This window comes from Homo sapiens, chromosome 15, assembly GCF_000001405.40.
Source record: "Homo sapiens chromosome 15, GRCh38.p14 Primary Assembly".
NCBI classification, from domain to species: Eukaryota; Metazoa; Chordata; class Mammalia; order Primates; family Hominidae; genus Homo; species Homo sapiens.
This window is the reverse complement of record NC_000015.10, coordinates 50,430,083-50,447,349: the sequence shown is the minus strand read 5'-3', so window position 1 is coordinate 50,447,349 and position 17,267 is coordinate 50,430,083. Positions and strand designations below refer to the sequence as shown.

General features: G+C 40.1%; 1 protein-coding gene across 3 annotated transcripts in view, besides 2 other annotated features; it reads right to left on the bottom strand.

Annotated features, from left to right (window-relative positions):
- The window catches only part of USP8 (ubiquitin specific peptidase 8), a 90,017-nt gene that overhangs the window by 67,072 nt on the left and 5,678 nt on the right, over window positions 1-17,267 (bottom strand). For 2 of the 3 annotated variants that reach the window (NM_001128610.3, NM_005154.5), the window contains exons 2-3: window positions 8,173-8,341; window positions 5,857-6,001 (exon numbers count right to left, since the gene is read on the bottom strand). In NM_001128610.3, the coding sequence (NP_001122082.1) occupies window positions 5,857-6,001; window positions 8,173-8,276 (249 nt within the window). In that variant the 5' untranslated portion in view covers window positions 8,277-8,341. The remainder of the gene's footprint in view (window positions 1-5,856; window positions 6,002-8,172; window positions 8,342-17,267) is intronic. The other variant, NM_001283049.2, reaches the window with a different exon arrangement.
- Window positions 2,194-2,303: an enhancer, noted in NCBI's record as "active region_9395". NCBI's record gives its function as "activates an Ori minimal core promoter by ATAC-STARR-seq in GM12878 lymphoblastoid cells {active_cell/tissue: GM12878}" and the evidence as "EXISTENCE:reporter gene assay evidence [ECO:0000049][PMID:35858748]".
- Window positions 2,424-2,513: an enhancer, noted in NCBI's record as "active region_9394". NCBI's record gives its function as "activates an Ori minimal core promoter by ATAC-STARR-seq in GM12878 lymphoblastoid cells {active_cell/tissue: GM12878}" and the evidence as "EXISTENCE:reporter gene assay evidence [ECO:0000049][PMID:35858748]".

The window sequence follows — 17,267 nt, the reverse complement described above, 5'->3', positions numbered from 1 at the left end:
AGAATTGCTTGAACCCAAGAAGTGGAGGTTGCAGTGAGCAGAGACAGTGCCACTGAACTCCAGTCTGGGCAACAGAGCAAGACTCCGTTTGAAAACAACAACAAAAACTAACAGTAAATAATTCATTCCCATAAGACCAGCGTCCAGTAGCACAATACAACCTGGAGCATATGAAGAATTAAATTTTTCTAAAGAAAACTGCCAGACATTTACAAATATTATTATAAATAACTTAGAAAAACTGGACCTGAGCTCTAATTCAATATACCAGTGCTCAATAATCTATCATTCTAAACACTTTTTAATTTCAAAAAAGTATGTGGTAACACAAGAACAGAATATGAGTGATATAGCAAAAGATTTAATTTTTGTGTCCCAGTTAACATAAGACTTATTTTTAAGAAGAAAAATCTGTTGATGGCCAGGCCAGGTGGCTCACGCTTGTAATCCCAGCACTTTGGGAGGCCAAAGCAGGTGGATAGCTTGTACCCAGGAGGTCAAGGCTTTAGGGAGCCATGATAGTGCCACTGTACTTCAGCCTGAGCAACAGAGTGAGACCCTGTCTCAAAAAAAGTCTGTTGATAAGAGTTATCATATGTCTATCTAGCCTAAAAGTAGATCATGCTTTGTTTGGCTGATTCTTCTAAAGCCTAAATATACTAGAAGGACCCTTCACTATGTAATTCCAATAAAAGTGTACAGTTTGTTCAATATCGTATCAATTGAACATTACAATAATTTCAGTTAGCACACCATGTCCTGACTACTGATGCAATTCTCTCAACAGAAAATACAATGTAATCATTACATTAACAGAACCATTTAACAGAAATCATAATGTAATCATTCTGAATAAATACAAAATACAAAGTAAAACCAAAAATGCTATAACTTGTTTTATTCATTTTTACACATGAACTCACCAAAAAGCCAGCCTGTAAGCCCAGCTTAAACTATTTAAACACAAAAAATTGTTTATGGTTGGGCATGTCTGTTACACACTATCAGACATTCCCCTAATATTAGTGAGATTTCCTGTCAATTATTTATCTCTGTGCTCTTAAAGGAGCACAGTTAAAGTAAATATAAATACTTCCAAAATTTCAATAGTATGATAATTGACAGAAGAAAAAGATAACATCCAATTATTACATAACTAAAAATGTTTGCTTCTGAGGTTTACCAGAACTTTCCTGATTCCTGAATATATGAATTCAAACAACTTTCATGATTTCCTAAACAAAAATAGGTTTACCAATGAAGAATTATCAAGAATACCATAAAAATTTTAAAATACAATTCTAATTTTATCTAGAATTCGCTACACTAATATTTTCAATACATTTTCTTTCCCCACTTTTTCAGATAACCCTGAAAGAATTATTCATAAGATGACTTTTTGATAAGTAATAAAATGTAGTGTCCTTCTCTACTATTGAGAGAGCTTGCTAAATTAATGTTTTATCTAAATCTCAATTTTTTTTTTTTTTTTTGAGACGGAGTCTTGCTCTGTTGCCCAGGCTGGAGTGCAGTGGTGCAATCTCAGCTCACTGCAACCTCCACCTCTCAGGTTCAAGCAATTCGCCTGCCTCGGCCTTCCAAGTAGCTGGGATTACAGGCGCCTGCCACCACACCTAGCTAATTTTTTTTTTACGTATTTTTAGTAGAGATGGGGTTTCACCATGTTGGCCAGGCTGGTCTTGAACTCCTGACCTTGTGATCCACCTGCCTCTGCCTCCCAAAGTGCTGGGACTACAGGCGTGAGCCACTGTGCCCAGGCTTTTTTTTTTTTTTTTTTTTTTTTGAGACAGACTCTTGCTCTGTCGCCCAGGCTGGAGTGCAGTGGTGCGATCTCGGCTCACTGCAACCTCCGCCTCCCAGGTTCAAGCGATTCCCCTGCCTCAGCCTCCCGAGTAGCTGGAACTACAGATGCATACCACCACACCCTGCTAATTTTTGTATTTTTAGTAGAGATGGGGTTTCACCATGTTGGCCAGGCTGGTCTCAAACTCCTGACCGCAAGTGATCCACCTGCCTCAGCCTCCCAAAGTGCTGGGATTACAGGGGTGAGCCATTGCGCCCAGCCTAAATCTCTAACATTTTCTAGTATAAAATAAGAGTGAAAATACAAGTTTCTAAGGAAGTTCAATGACATACATTCAGTCCCTACCTCATCTAAAGGGTAAAAAATAGAAAATATCTTGTTAGTAAATTTAGCACCTCACATAGCTGAAGTACACTAGAGAGGCTGGGCTACAGAAAAATATAACAAAAAACAGAAAACAGTTCTGCAACTGGGCAAGGTGGCTCACACCTGTAATCCCAGCACTTTGGGAGGCCGAGGCAGGCAGACCACCTGAGCCCAGGAGTTCAAGACTAACCTGGGCAACAGGGTAAGACCTCGTTTCCACTAAAAATTAAAAAATTAGCCAGGTGTGGTGGTGCGTGTCTGTACTCCCAGCTACTCTGGAGGCTGAGGTGAGAGAATCAGCTGAGCCCAGGAAGTCGAGGCTGCAGTGAACCATGACTGTGCCCACCGCACTCCAACCTGGGTGACGGAAGTGAGATTCTGTCTCAGAACAAACAAAAAACAGTTCTAAGACAGAAGCAGATGAGATCCTCTGGACAGAGCAAATGAAAATGATCCTTTTACTGAAAAACAGGAAATGAACTACTGAATCATATGAAATAATGGCCTAAGTTACCTGAGCCTTTGCAGGGAGCGTCTCAGCCTGGACTTCTCTGCCTACATACTCCCTTTGGAAATGCAATAGAGACTCTGGAAATGGAAAAATCTCATCTGTTTAAATGTACTCACTACCTTCTCAAGAAGAGAAAAAAAAAGGCGGCTACAAAAATATTCCCAATTTTGTCATAGAAAAAAAATAACTATTAACTTCCAAAATAAAGCAAAAAGTAAACAAGACCATTAAAAAAAAAAAACTGGTTGGGCATGGTGGCTCATGCCTGTAATCCCAGCACTTTGGGAGGCCAAGGTAGGTGGATCACCGAGGGTCAGGAGTTCGAGATCAGCCTGACCAACACGGTGAAACCCTGTCTCTACTAAAAATACAAAAATTAGGCCAGGCGTGGTGGCGGGTGCCTGTAATCCCAGCTACTCGGGAGGCTGAAGCAGGAGAATCACTTGAACTTGGGAGGTGGAGGTTGCAGTGAGCCAAAATCATGCCATCGCGCTCCAGCCTGGGTGACAGAACAAGACTGTCACCTTAAAAAAAAAAAAAAAAAAAAAAACCTACCACACAAACAAAACAGCAAACAACAAAACTACCAAAGTTATCCAAATTTTAAGACTTTCAAAAATATTTACTTTAGTGAGCACCACTTACACTGCGTTTTAAGCAATTCCACTTTAACATATTTCACAGAGCGTGCAAAAACTTGTTTGAATTTAGGAAGGCCTCTGTCTCTTACCTGCAGATAAGTATGGCCAAAAATATTAAACAGTATTTTTCCCAGGGCAGGACTAATTCATCCATTGTGGACAGATGAATGAACCTCCAAATGCAAGGGGCCCCCTCTTCAAAGACAGATTTAAAACCTAGTAATTGGCCAGGCATGATGGCTCAAGCCTGGAATCCCAGCACTTTGGAAGGCAGAGGCAGGCGGATCATGAGGTCAGGAGTTCAAGACCAGCCTGGCCAATATGGTGAAAGCCCATCTCTACTAAAAACACAAAAATTAGCTGGACGTGGTGGTGCACACCTGTAGTCCCAGCTACTCGGGAGGCTGAGGCAGGAGAACCGCTTGAACCTGGGAGGCAGAGGTTGCAGTGAGCCGAGATTGAGCTACCGCACTCCAGTCTGGGCGACAGAGTGAGACTCCGTCTTTAAAAAAACAAAAAACAAAAAAAACCTAGTAACTATTATTAGAATAACTTTGCTAATGAGAAGAAATACCAGCAATGATTTATCACCATTAAGTAAAATATTAAAGTCATTCCTTAACAACCAAAAGTCACACTCCTCTAAAAATAAAAATAAGTGGCCAGGCACAGTGGCTCACAGGATCACGCCTGTAATCCCAGCACTTTGGGAGAACGAGAGGGGCGGATCACAAGGTCAGGAGTTCGATACCAGCTGGGCCAACATGGTGAAACTCCGTCTCTACTAAAGATACAAAAAAATTAGCTAGGCATGGTGGCAAGAGCCTGTAATCCCACCTACTCAGGAGGCTGAGGCAGGAGAATCGCTTGAACCCGAAAGGTGGAGGTTGCAGTGAGCTGAGAATGTGCCACCGCACTCCAGCCTGGGTGACAGGGCGAGACTCTCTCAAAGTAAATAAATTAAAAAAATTTAAAAAGATCATCAAAGAACAAACGAAATTTTGTTATTTCAGTAAGTCAATTTAAACAATAGAAGCCAATTCTACCACCAGAGAACAAAATAAAATCTCATTATTAATTGAGGGTGGCTTCTCTACCAGGTGAAAATTCTATAGGCAGTATTTTGTTACTACTGACAGGTAATAAGATTGTTTCTAAGTAAAGGTAAACCCAGCAACACAACATTCTTCACTTTTGTTTAATGAACCTCTACATTCTTCATATTCTTTTTTTGCTAGTTTGTTTTTGTTTGTTTTTTGAGATGGAGTCTATCGCCCACCTGGGCTGGAGCTGGAGTGCAGTGGTGCAATCTCGGCTCACTGCAACCTCTGCCTCCCAGATTCAAGTGGTTCTCCTGTCTCAGCCTCCCAAGCAGCTTGGATTACAGGCGCCCGCCACTACGCCCAGCTAGTTTTTTTTACTTTTAGTACAGATGGGGTTTCACCATGTTGGCCAGGCTGGTCTCGAACTCCTGACCTCAGGTGATCCACCCACCTTGGCCTCCTAAAAGTGCTGGGATTACAGGTGTGAACCACCGTGCCCAGCATTCTTTTGCTAGTTTCTAATACAATTGAAATACATCTATTTTCTCTATCAACACTTATCCTAGTCATCAATTTTTTCTATTCATTTATATTGCCCCTGCCCTCCCTATCCATGGCTTCAATCAAATGGAAGACAAGCACCTGTTCAAAGGATTAAAAGCAAAAAGAAGTTTAAAGATTTGGTGAGTGGGCTGGATGCAGAGGCTTATGCCTCTAATCCCAGCACTTTGGGAGGCCGAGGCAGGCAGATCAACTGAGGCTGGGAGTTTGAGACCAGCCTGACCAACATGGAGAAACCCCATCTCTACCAAAAATACAAAATTAGCCAGGCTTGGTGGCACATGCCTGTAATCCCAGTTACTCGGGAGGCTGAGGCAGGAGAATTGCTTGAACCCAGGAGACAGGTTGCAGTGAGCCGATATCACGCCACTGCACTCCAGCCTGGACAACAAGAGTGAAACTCCGTCTCAAAAAAAAAAAAAAAAAAAAAAAAGATTTAGGGAGTGATCAGTATCAATTTTGCAAACTGACATTTGTAATATGGGTACAATGTCAGTCATATATAAAAAGCTGTCACATAAAAACAAGAGACTAAACCTTGACTCTTAAGAAAGCGCAATAAAAGTACTATAAAAAAAAACACAGTCATGTTTTCTTACTTAATGAGCAAACTCAATCCTTCTACTTGACCTGGCAATTATTAATTACCTCAGAAAAAAATTATGAATCTGTATGTTGCTATAAACTTGTACTAATCCATGGCAAATCCAAGAATGTGTACGAGTTCACACATTATACACATTTGTAAATAATAACACTGTATCTTTAGTTCCCTTTTTCTATCTACATGAGATCATGCTGCATATAATTTGAGCTACATTTCATTATTACTTAAAATTTTTAGAAAAAAATCAATAGCTCCATTATGCAAAATAACTTAGGAAATAACAATGCAAAAATAAAAGGTACCTGCTGTTGCTTGAAATCAGGTCTTTTTTTGATAAGATTATAAACAGTCACGTATTTCATATATAGTACATAGGCCCTTTCCTCATCACGATCTAATCTGCATTCTTCTGCTGTCTTAAAGATCTTCAGGGCACTGTGCACATAACTTAAAATTAGAGAAAAAATAATAATTAAAGCAATTGACATCTGGGAAAAAATACAGGTCATATACAAAGTCCACAGATAATCTTTATCAGGGATCCCCAACCCCAGGGCCACAGATTGGTACTGGTTCACGGCCTGTTATGAACCAGGACGCACAGCAGACGATGAGTGGTGGGTTAGCCAGCAAAGTGTCATCTGTATTTACAGTCACTCCCCATTGCTCGCATTACCACCTGAGCTCCACCTCCTGTCAGATCATGGTGGCATTAGATTCCCATAGGAGCACGAACCCTATTGTGAACTGCACATGTGAGGGATCTAGGTTGTGCACTCCTTTTTTTTTTTTTTGAGATGGGGTCTAGCTCTTCTTGCCCAGGCTGGAGTGCAATGGGCTATCTTGGCTCACTGCAACCTCTGCCTCCCGGATTCAAGTGATTCTCCTGCCTCAGCCTCCCAAGTAGCTGGGATTACAGGAGTGTACCACCATGCCTGGCTAATTTTTTAGTTTTAGTAGAGACGAGGTTTCACCATGTTAGTCAGGCTGGTCTTGAACTCCTGACCTCAAGTGATCCTCCCATCTCAGCCTCCCAAAGTGCTCGGATTACAGGCATGAGCCACCGCGCCTAGCCAAGGTTGCGCATTCTTTATGAGAATCTAAGGCCTGATGATCTGTCACTGTCGACCATCACCCCCAGATGTGATGGTCCAGTTGCAGGAAAACAAGCTCAGGGATACCACTGGTTCTACATTATGGTGAGTTATATAATAATTTCATTATACATTACAGAGTAATAATAATAGAAATAAAGTGCACAATAAATGTAGTGCACTTGACTCATCCCAAAACTATCCTCCCTAACCCTGGTCCATTGAAAAACTGTCTTCCACAAAACCAGTCCCTGGTGCCAAAAAGGCTGGGGACCACTGATCTTGATAAAGCAAATTTCATTATTTAGGTTCCACTACTTCAGAACTGATACAAAGTTAGATGCAAGTTTGGATACAACCAACTTACATATACCACTTCCTCTGGGATAAGGGTAGTGCTAGAGGTAAACCAGACATTACTAGAAAGGAATAAACGGTCTTAGGCCTGACCTTGTCTTATCTAAAGGTGGCTTTATCTTTCCCATTGTTTCCCATCTGAAAATCATTCAACAGGAGTTAGAGTTGTTTTCTGTCACCTCATCAACTTCCCAACTTCGCAAGATAAATAGCCCAATCCCTCTCTTACTTTCTGCCCTTCAAAAGATCTTTTTAATTTTATTTTGAGGCAGAGTCTCACTCTGTCACCCAGGCTGGAGTGCAACGGTGCAATCTTGACTCACTGCAACCTCCACTTCCTGGACTCAGGGATCCCTCAGCCCCCCACTAGCTGGGATTATAGGCCTATGCCACCATGCCAAGTTAATTTTTGTATTTTTAGTAGAGACGGGGTTTCACCATGTTGCCGAGGCTGGTATCGAACTCCTGACCTCAGGTGATCCGCCCACCTTGGCCTCCCAAAGTGGAAAAAAAAAATTATTATTATTATTATTATTATTATTATTATTATTATTGAGACAGAGTTTCGCTCTTATTGCCCAAGCTGCAGTGCAATCGCACAATCTCGGCTCACCGAAACCTCCGCCTCCCGGGTTCAAGCAATTCTCTTGCCTCAGCCTCCCGAGTAGCTGGGATTACAGATGTGCGCCACCACGCCCGGCTAATTTTTTGTATTTTTAGTAGAAATGGGGTTTCACCATGTTAGCCAGGCTTGTCTCAAACTCCTGACCTTAGGTGATCCGCCCACCTTGGCCTCCCAAAGTGCTGGGATTACAAGCGTGAGCCACCGCACCCGGCCAAAAAGGAATTATTTTTGTATCGTTTTATGAAAAGACAATGACTTCTGGCTGAATTTTTTTTTAGAAGCCTCATAATCTTTGCCTCTTAAACTTTATGACCTAGAGATCATATCTGTATGATCTGTCTGGAGAGTAGATAATATGCATATGAGCAGAATATATATGTATTGTGCTACGATTACATTACAACTTTCTCTAAGGAGGTCCTACTTTATTCGTGTGATGGTGTTATTTTTCAAATAAACTTTAACATTCATCTAACTTTAATATGGAAACGAACTAAAAATTAATATTTGATTCAATCAAACTAGCGAAGGATACATCATACCTCTTAGTGCTTATTTTCTCTGGTTTAACTTCTGTCTTCTTATTAAGGTCTTTTAGTGAAGAACTGAGGTAGAGTTCTTTAGGAACTGAAGCCACAGCAGGCATGATGAATTATCTTTACTTTTCCACTTTCACAATGGATGCTATATTTCCTTACAAGTGCTTCTTTCCTGAAACAAATACAAATAATTATACTAATTTTCCTCATTCACAATAAAACAAGTGAGCAGTTTAAAAAAAAAAATTCCTAAACCATATCCTTTGCTAACAGGGTTAATTTTAAATTGTTTAGAATATCTATTTCAGGAGTTTAAGATATGCAGAATATGAGTGAAGAATGTAATAATTTTTTTCAAATTTTCATTAACCAAATGAATTACTTTTTGTATCATTTTGCCTTAAGAGTTGGGAATCTTACCTGTCAAAGGAACTAGCAGTAAGAATAATCAAAGCGTTTACATGTTTCTTTTGTTAAAATAGCATTAATGTTTAGATCATAAGTAGATGGAATTTTTATCTAGAAATATTTCTCTTTTCTCATTGATATCCATTTATTTTTTAAGTGACTTCTTCCTCTTATTTATTTATTTATTTGAGATAGGGTCTCACCCTGTCACCCTGGCTGTAGTGCAATGGCACAATCTCGGCTTACTGTAACCTTCACCTCCCGAGCTCAAGCAATCCTCCTACCTAAGCCTCCAAGTAGCTGGAATTCCAGGCGTTCGCCACCATGCCCCCAGCTAGTTTTTGTGTTTTCAGTAGATACGGGGTTTCGTCATATTGGCCAGGCTGGTCTCAAACTCCTGGCCTTAAGTGATCCACCTGCCTTGGCCTCCCAAAGTGCTGGGATTACAGGCGTAAGCCACCACGTCTGGCTACTTCTTTCCAATCTCTTAATAATCTTCATTCTACCAGTTCACTATCATTAAACAAATGGACATCAATGAACATCTAATCCTAAAAAGCTAAGTAAAGTACAACTTGGAGCAGGGGATGGGAAGGCTGCTGCTCACCTATGAAAATTCCAAAAGCACCCCAATTTGCTTTAATTCTAGTAACATTTTATATTAAATATTAATACTTTGTGATTTATTGGTACTCATCCCTTCTAACCCTGTGCACATTAGTCCACTGTCTTAGTCACCAAACCATTTTGTTCTGAGTATTTCATTTTTATCATTTTCACTTTTTTTCTATCTATACTTGCTCCAGGTATCTATAAACACATGTTGAACCAAACACTTTAATTTGTACTTTCAGATCTATGCATTTAGAAACAACGATCTAATATACAAACATTTTCTACACTTTACCATCCACCCTGGGTCCTGTGTCTAAAGCTGTAGTGATAGGGGAGAAAAGGTCTCTAGACCACACTATCACTCCCAAATGGATCAACTGATATCAAATATGTCCTTCTAGCGAGGTATCTAATTCATCAACAATTCATCAAACTTGCTAAAAGCATCCATTGAGGAAAGAGTATGACAGGGTTCCCCTGGGTTTCCTCATACTTATAGAGACAACAGCAATGTTTCAATGTCAGTGCAAATCATCAGGAGACTTAGCTTGCAACAGTAGGCCTCGTGTTAAACAGAGGTTATTAAAGGGGTATATAAGATATGGTCTCTGATTCTCCAAGAATAAATAGTTTAACCAGAAAACATACCCTGCCCGCCTTCTCACCTCATCATCTTCTGCCCATCCCCCGCAATGTTGAATGAAAAACCAAGAATATGTGTAATACGATACTCTATATAAAGTTTAAAAATCAAATTGAATTGAACAATATATTGCTTAAAGATATAAATGAGGTAAAACTATAAAGAAAGCAGAAAATGTTAAACGCAACATTATATTTCTTGGGAGAGGGAGAGTTGTAATCAGGGAGATACATATAAGGAGCTTCAGGGGTACAGCAAGGTTCTAGTTCTCAAATTGGGTAGTATGTGCACAGGTGATCATTTTAGTATCATGCTTTATAACATATAAAAGAATATATGAAATGTACTTAAAGTTTTAAGGAAGGAAAGAAATAATATGAGCATAACAACGCAAACGTGAGTAAAGCAATGCAACATACATAAATATGAAGAGAGTATCCAGAGAGATGTAAAAGTTAGGAAGTTATGGGTTAAACAAGCAAGTAACAAAAAATACACATTTAAAAAAACATATTGATTTAAAAAAAAAAGACTTGGAACATTGGGGCTGGGCATGGTGGCTCACACCTGTAATCCCAGCACTTTGGGAGGCCAAAGTGGACAGATCACTTGAGGTCATGAGTTCAAGTCCAGCCTGGTCAACATGGTGAAACCCTATCTCTACTAAAAATACAAAAATTAGCCAGGCATGGTAGTGCATGCCTATAATCCCAGCTACTTGGGAGGCTAAGGCAGGAGAATTGCTTGAACCCAGAGGGTGGAGGTTGCAGTGAGCTGAGATCACACCCTGCACTCCAGCCTGGGTGACAGAACAAGACTGTCTCAAAAAACAAAAAACAAACAAAAAAAATTAGCTGGGCATGATGTCAGGCACCTGTAATCCCAGCTACTCAGGAGGCTGAAGTAGGAGACTCACTTGAACCCGGGAGGTGAGGTTGCAGTGAGCCGAGATCGCACCACTGCACTCCAGCCTGGGCAACAAAGTGAGATTCCGTCTCAAAAACAAAACAAAAAAACCAACAAAGTTTAAAAAACTAATGTGGAAGAGAAAGTTTTAAGCAGTAGTAATACAGCATAGTATGATATCAAACTATAGAGTTACAAATATTACAGTATAAGAAAAATTAAGAGAGAAGATTAAGTATGACTAGAAGGATCTTGGAAGTCATCATCAAAGAGACAACATTTGATTTGAGTCTTGGTGGGGGAAGGTTTTTCAAAGAGATGAAAAGCAGGATGAAGAAAAGAAAGTAAAGAACATCTTTAGGAATTAGCCACTACATAGAATGAACAAAGATCTACATGGCAGTGGAAAAAAAAACAGACTTGGAACAGGGAACGGGGAAGGCCTTGAATGTTACTAAAGCATTTACTTTGTTTTCTAAAGGTAGCAGGGTTCTGAAGTAGGGAGGTAAGTGATTAAAACTAAGAAGAGTATAAAGTTAGGCGGTAAGTGACAAACTAGATAGGGAAAACACTAGTTATCTATTATAATGATCCTAGGGAAAGATGACAAAGGTCAGAACTAGGGCAGTAGAGATGGAATAGAGGAAGCAGATATAATAAGAGATGCTGCAAAGGTAGAATGACAGGACTTGGCAAATGATTAGACACAAGGAGGGAAAGTACAGGGATAAGATTACGATGTCACCAAAGATTTTAGGAAGGGTTTCTAGGAGAAAGACTGTACTTTTTAAAAGCTTCCTTTTCTGTCCCCATTTGATTTTTGGAAACAGTTCAAATAAGTAACAATCTTCTCTGATAATGTCTAAAGTCCATTAAAAACCATAGTTGTTTCTATTTTTATTAACAAAATCATGTAAGTTATACCGTCACTTAAGGATGCCTAGTGTTAAAAATACTTTCAGTATTGTTTTAATTGCTATTTGAGCCTCTACAATCACACACGTTTCTGCAGAAGTCAAACAGAAGGTAAAGGGTATTTTCCGCTCATCAAGTGAGAAAGCAAAACATATATAGTAATTCCTCAGTATCTGTAGGAGAGTGGTTCCAGGACTTTTCCCACAAGTACCAAAAATCTGCAGATGTTCAAATCCCTGATATAAAATGGTGTAAGATTTGCATATAACCTTACTTTAAATCATCTCAAGATTACTTATAATACCTAATACAATGTAAATGTTATATAAACAGTTGTTACATTGTATTGGTTAGGGAATAAAGACAAGAAAAAACTCTGTACATGGTTCAGTACAGATCCAATTATTTTTTTAAAATATTCCCAATCGGCCATTGGTTGAATTCACAGATACAGAAGGCTGACTGTGTATCCAACCTCAATCTATGTGAATTTAACATGTTACATTTTTGATAAGTCATTCTGCTGCATTTTGCCATTAAAGAAATCTGAAAATAGACTGACATAAAATATATTGACTAGAATGACTGAATGAACTCAATTGCCTTATTTTGGCTACAATCGTTTAAAAAAAATAAAACAGCAGCAGCAACAACAAACCCATTGATACTTATACAGAAGTGTTCATTAACTACAGAAGTCAAATAATTTGCAGAATTTATTTGTTTAGATCTAGGACAAACCATAAGATACAACACATTGAAATTATCTTATGTGGCCGGGTGCAGTGGCTCACACCTGTAATCCTAGCACTTTGGGAGGCCGAGGCAGGTGGATTCCTTGAGGTTGGGAGTTTGAGACCAGCCTGGCCAACATGGTGAAACCTCATCTCTATTAAAAATACAAAAATTAGCCAGGCGTGGTGGTGGCACATGCCTGTAATTCCAGCTATTCAGGAGGCTGAGGCAGAAAAATCACTTGAACCCAGGAGGTGGAGGTTGCAGTGAGTGGAGATTGCAGCACTACAACTTCAACCTGGGCGACACAGCAAGACCCTGTCTTTTAAAACAAAACAAAACAAAGCAAAACTTATGCTTCAAAAAGGATTGCAAGTGGAAAAAAAAAATAACTAAGTATATGTAAGAAAAATTAACGTGCTTCTAACAACAAAAAATAAAAATTCTTAAGACGTGTAAACCTGACAAAGATAAAGAACTTCAGCCTTAGTCAAACAGCAGTGCTCCAAAAGTGAAATCCAAAAGTGTTGAAAATGAGTTAACAAAGAGAAAATGCAGCCGGGCGTGGTGGCTCAGGCCTGTAATCCTAGCACTTCGGGAGGCTGAGGCAGGTGGACTGCTTGAGGTCGGGAGTTTGAGACCAGCCTGGCCAACATGGTGAAACCTCATCTCTACTAAAAATACAAAAATTAGCCGGACGTGGTGGCGCACACCTGTAATCCCAGCTATTCAGGAGGCTGAGGCAGAAAAATCGCTTGAACCCAGGAGGTGAAGATTGCAGTGAGCGGAGTCTGGGCGACAGAGCAAGACTCTGTCTTTTAAAACAAAACAAAACAAAACAAAACAAAACAAAAAACCTTATGCTTCAAGAAGGATTGCAAGTGAAAAAAAAATAACTAAGTATATGCAAGAAAAATTAACATGCTTCTAACAACAAAAAATAAAAATTCTTAAGATGTGTAAACCTGACAAAGAACTTCAGCCTTAGTCAAACAGCAGTGCTCCAAAAGTGAAACCCAAAAGTGTTGAAAATGAGTTAACAAAGAGAAAATGCAGCCGTGCACAGTGGCTCACGCCTGTAATCCCAACACTTTGGGAGGCCAAGGCGGGCGGATCACGAGGTCAGGAGATCAAGACCATCCTGGCTAACACGGTGAAACCCCGTCTCTACTAAAAAGACAAAAAATTAGCCGGGCACGGTGGCGGGCACCTGTAGTCCCAGCTACTCAGGAGGCTGAGGCAGGAGAATGGCACGAACCTGGGAGGTGGAGCTTGCAGTGAGCTGAGATCGCGCCACTGCACTGCAGCCTGGGCAACAGAGACTCCATCTCAAAAAAAAATAAATAAATAAAGAGAAAATGTTCTTTCTCTGACATCCTTCTGCTCCTTTCTAAGACAAAGAGTAGGGATTTGATGACTGGAACCACAAAGTGAAGACTAAAAGGTAAAAAGTGAAAAATGAGGTTTGCAGTCATTCAAACTGGTCCTGATTTTAAGCAGGGATTCACACCAGCCACTCCTAAGGTCTTTGGCAATATTGAAAGGAAAGCAAAAGTTGTCTTTGTTGGTCACCCACCATCTCTCTCTATTTCTGCCCTTAGGCAGCAACAATACTCAACATAAGTATCTTCTCGCTGTCTTAAATCTCATAATCCACTCTACACTCGTTCTGTATAAGGTGCCACAAACAACTAAGTATTGATTAAATAACTTTTTTTTTTTTTGGAGACGGAGTCTCACTCTGTCGCCCAAGCTGGAGTGCAGTGGCATGAACTTGGCTCACTGCAACCTCCACTTCCCAGATTCAAGCAGCCTCAGCCTCCCAAGTAACTGAGATTACAGGCGCCCCGCCACCATGCCCCACTAATTTTTGTATTTTAGTAGAGACAGGGTTTCTCCATGTTGGCCAGGCTGGTCTCGAACTCCTGACCTCAGGTGATCCGCCCGCCTCGGCCTCCCAAAGTGGTGGGATTACAGGCGTGAGCCATCGTGCCCGGCCAATGAAATAACATTTTAAAGTAATCCTCAAGTATTAAGAAGGCTCAACCCTCTCAAGATTTAATCACTGCTAAAATGTATGGTATTTTCTGAGCAACTACTATGTCTCTAGCACTGTGCTAAATGCTTGAGGGCAGTGTTTTTAAAATCCATTAGAAGGTCATGATCAGCATTAAAAAAATAGCAAACATCAGACTATGTCACACATAGTAAGGTTAGGTACTGCTTCGTAAAATTGTTTCAGTTATGTACATGTGTATATGATATAACACTGGATGAAAATGTAAAATGTATTTCTTAATACAGGTGACAATTTTAAAAAAAGTATGAAAGTCTCACACTACAGCAATGTAACTCCAAGTATGGTCCAATGACCAGTGCTGATTGGGGAACTGTTTGTTATCAGTTTGTGATAAAATAAGAAGTTTGTGACAGAATGTAGATCAATTAAGCACACTGACCTTTTTAAAGTAGCAGCAAGACTTTCTCCATGCAAAAAGCAGTGCACTGACTGGGCGTGGTGCCTCACAGCTGTAATCCCAACACTCTGGGAGACTGAGGTGGGAGGACTGCTTGAGCCCAGGAGTTCAAGAACAGATATTTATGTTGAGTATTGTTGTTGCCTAAAGGGCAGAGATAGGGAGAAATGGTAGGTAGCCAACAAAGTGGGCAACAAAGTAAAGACAAAAAATTTTACAAAAAATTTAAAAATTAGCTGGGCGTAGTGGTGCACATCTGAGGTCTCAGCTACAAGAAGAAACAAACTTAAGTTCCATCTCTTCCATCCTTTATGGTCCCAGTTCTTGGAATTTGTTTCTTCATGTGAATCCTACAATGCTTGTGATCTATATCATTCCTTAAATACAGTAATGGGATCAACAGACAATTACTATAAGGCTTTAAAATCCTCATACACACGCAGTGCTCATGATGATGTGATGAGAGAGAGAACCTGGCCTTGAGGACAGAATTTAGCTAAGAACAGGGTAAGAAAGGAGGACATCTGGCTGGGCATGGTGGCTGACACCTGTAATCCCAGCACTTTGGGAGGCTGAGGCAGGCAGATCACCTGAGGTCAGAAGTTCAAGACCAGCCTGACCAATATGGAGAAACCCCGTCTCTACTAAAAATACCAAATTAGCTGGGCATGGTGGTGGACGCCTGTAATTCCACCTACTCAGGAGGCTGAGGCAGGAGAATCTCTTGAACCCAGGGGGCAGAGGTTGCAGTGAGCCAAGATCGCACCACTGCACTCCAGCCTGGGCAACAAGAGTGAAACTCCATCTCGGAAAAAATAGTAATAATAAGGAATATTACAGAAGTTATTGGGAAATAATCAATCGGATAGAGGGAAAATGTTGACATGTCTTTGGATCCCTGGCACCTATCTCAATAGTCCTCACATAGTCACCACTTTAATAAATGTTTCTCCCTGTCAGCTGAATTTAACTAAAAGGAAAAAAAAATGTTGACTAACAAGAATAACTAAATTATATTATGTAGGAGATGGAGTCACATTATGGAAGACTTTGGAAGCCATCCAGAATTCTTTATATTTGATTCAGCAGGCAATAAAAGCCAGTTCCTGATGGGAAAAATATTATCTCAAGATGGTCAAATTAGGGATATGTAAGTAAGATTGAAAGGAGATGAGAACAAGGGAATGATACTATGGAAAAGAGTAACTACAAGGTCACTGCAGAAAAGAACACAAAATGGTAGAAACATGCTTTGGTAACTGGTTGATCGAAACAGTATTTTCTCTTGCTTACACACACACACACACACACACACAGAGGCACACACACTGTACCCTGCAAAATATGAAGAGCAGTAGTGCTATTAACAAAAAAAGTAATACTGCAGTTTAAAACTGATCAGTTTACAGCAGCGTTTCTCAACCTTGCCATCACTCACATTTTGGACCAGATAAACATTTGTTGTGAGAGGCTGCTCTGTGCAATGTGCACTGCAGGATGTTTAGCAGCATCCCTAACCTCTACTAGACGCCAGTTTACTATCATCCTTCCCTTCCAGTTGTAACAACCAAAACTGTCTACAGTCATTGCCGAATGTGTCCTGGAAGGCAAAATTACCCCCAACAAGAACCACTGGTTTACAGCAAAGTAGGTAATTCGATGTGGAAAATGTTGAGTGTATGCCAAAGGAACATCTTAAGATGTAAATATTAACTAGAAATCAGTTATATGTGAGAGCAGACAGATATTAAATCTGTTTATCAACTAATAAGGCATCAATGTTGACTTTGATAATCCCTATTGTTTTGGAAGATAATTAAGTATTGACACCAAAATTATGTTATCTAGGATTTGGTGAACTGCTGGGCAACACAGTGAGACCTTATCACTACAAAAAAAAAATAAAAAAATAAAAAATTAGCAGGGCATGGTGGCATGCGCCTGTGGTCCCAGCTTCTCGGAAGGCTGAGGCCTTCCTTGAGCCTGGGAGGTTGAGCTTGCAATGAACCATGATTACACCATTGCACTCCAGCCTGAGCAATAGAGGGAGACCCTGTCTAATTGGGGGAGTCTTAGAATGCCATGAGAAAAAAAGAAAAGAAAAGAATAAACTAGCCCTAGTTCTTTATTTTTTTGAGATGACGTCTCACTCTGCTGTCCAGGCTGGAGAGCAGTGGCGCAATCTCGGCTCACCAAAACCTCCACCTCCCCGGTTCAAGCGATTCTCTTGCCTCAGCCTCCCAAGGAGCTGAACTAGCCCTAGTTCTAAAGAGTGACTGTCTAAACTGGCTTCAATTAGGTAAACAATAGATACCTACTATACACAAGGTGCAGTGTTGTGATACAGGGGATACTAAAAAAATACAACTCTTAATAAAGTTTCTGCCTCTTAAAATGAA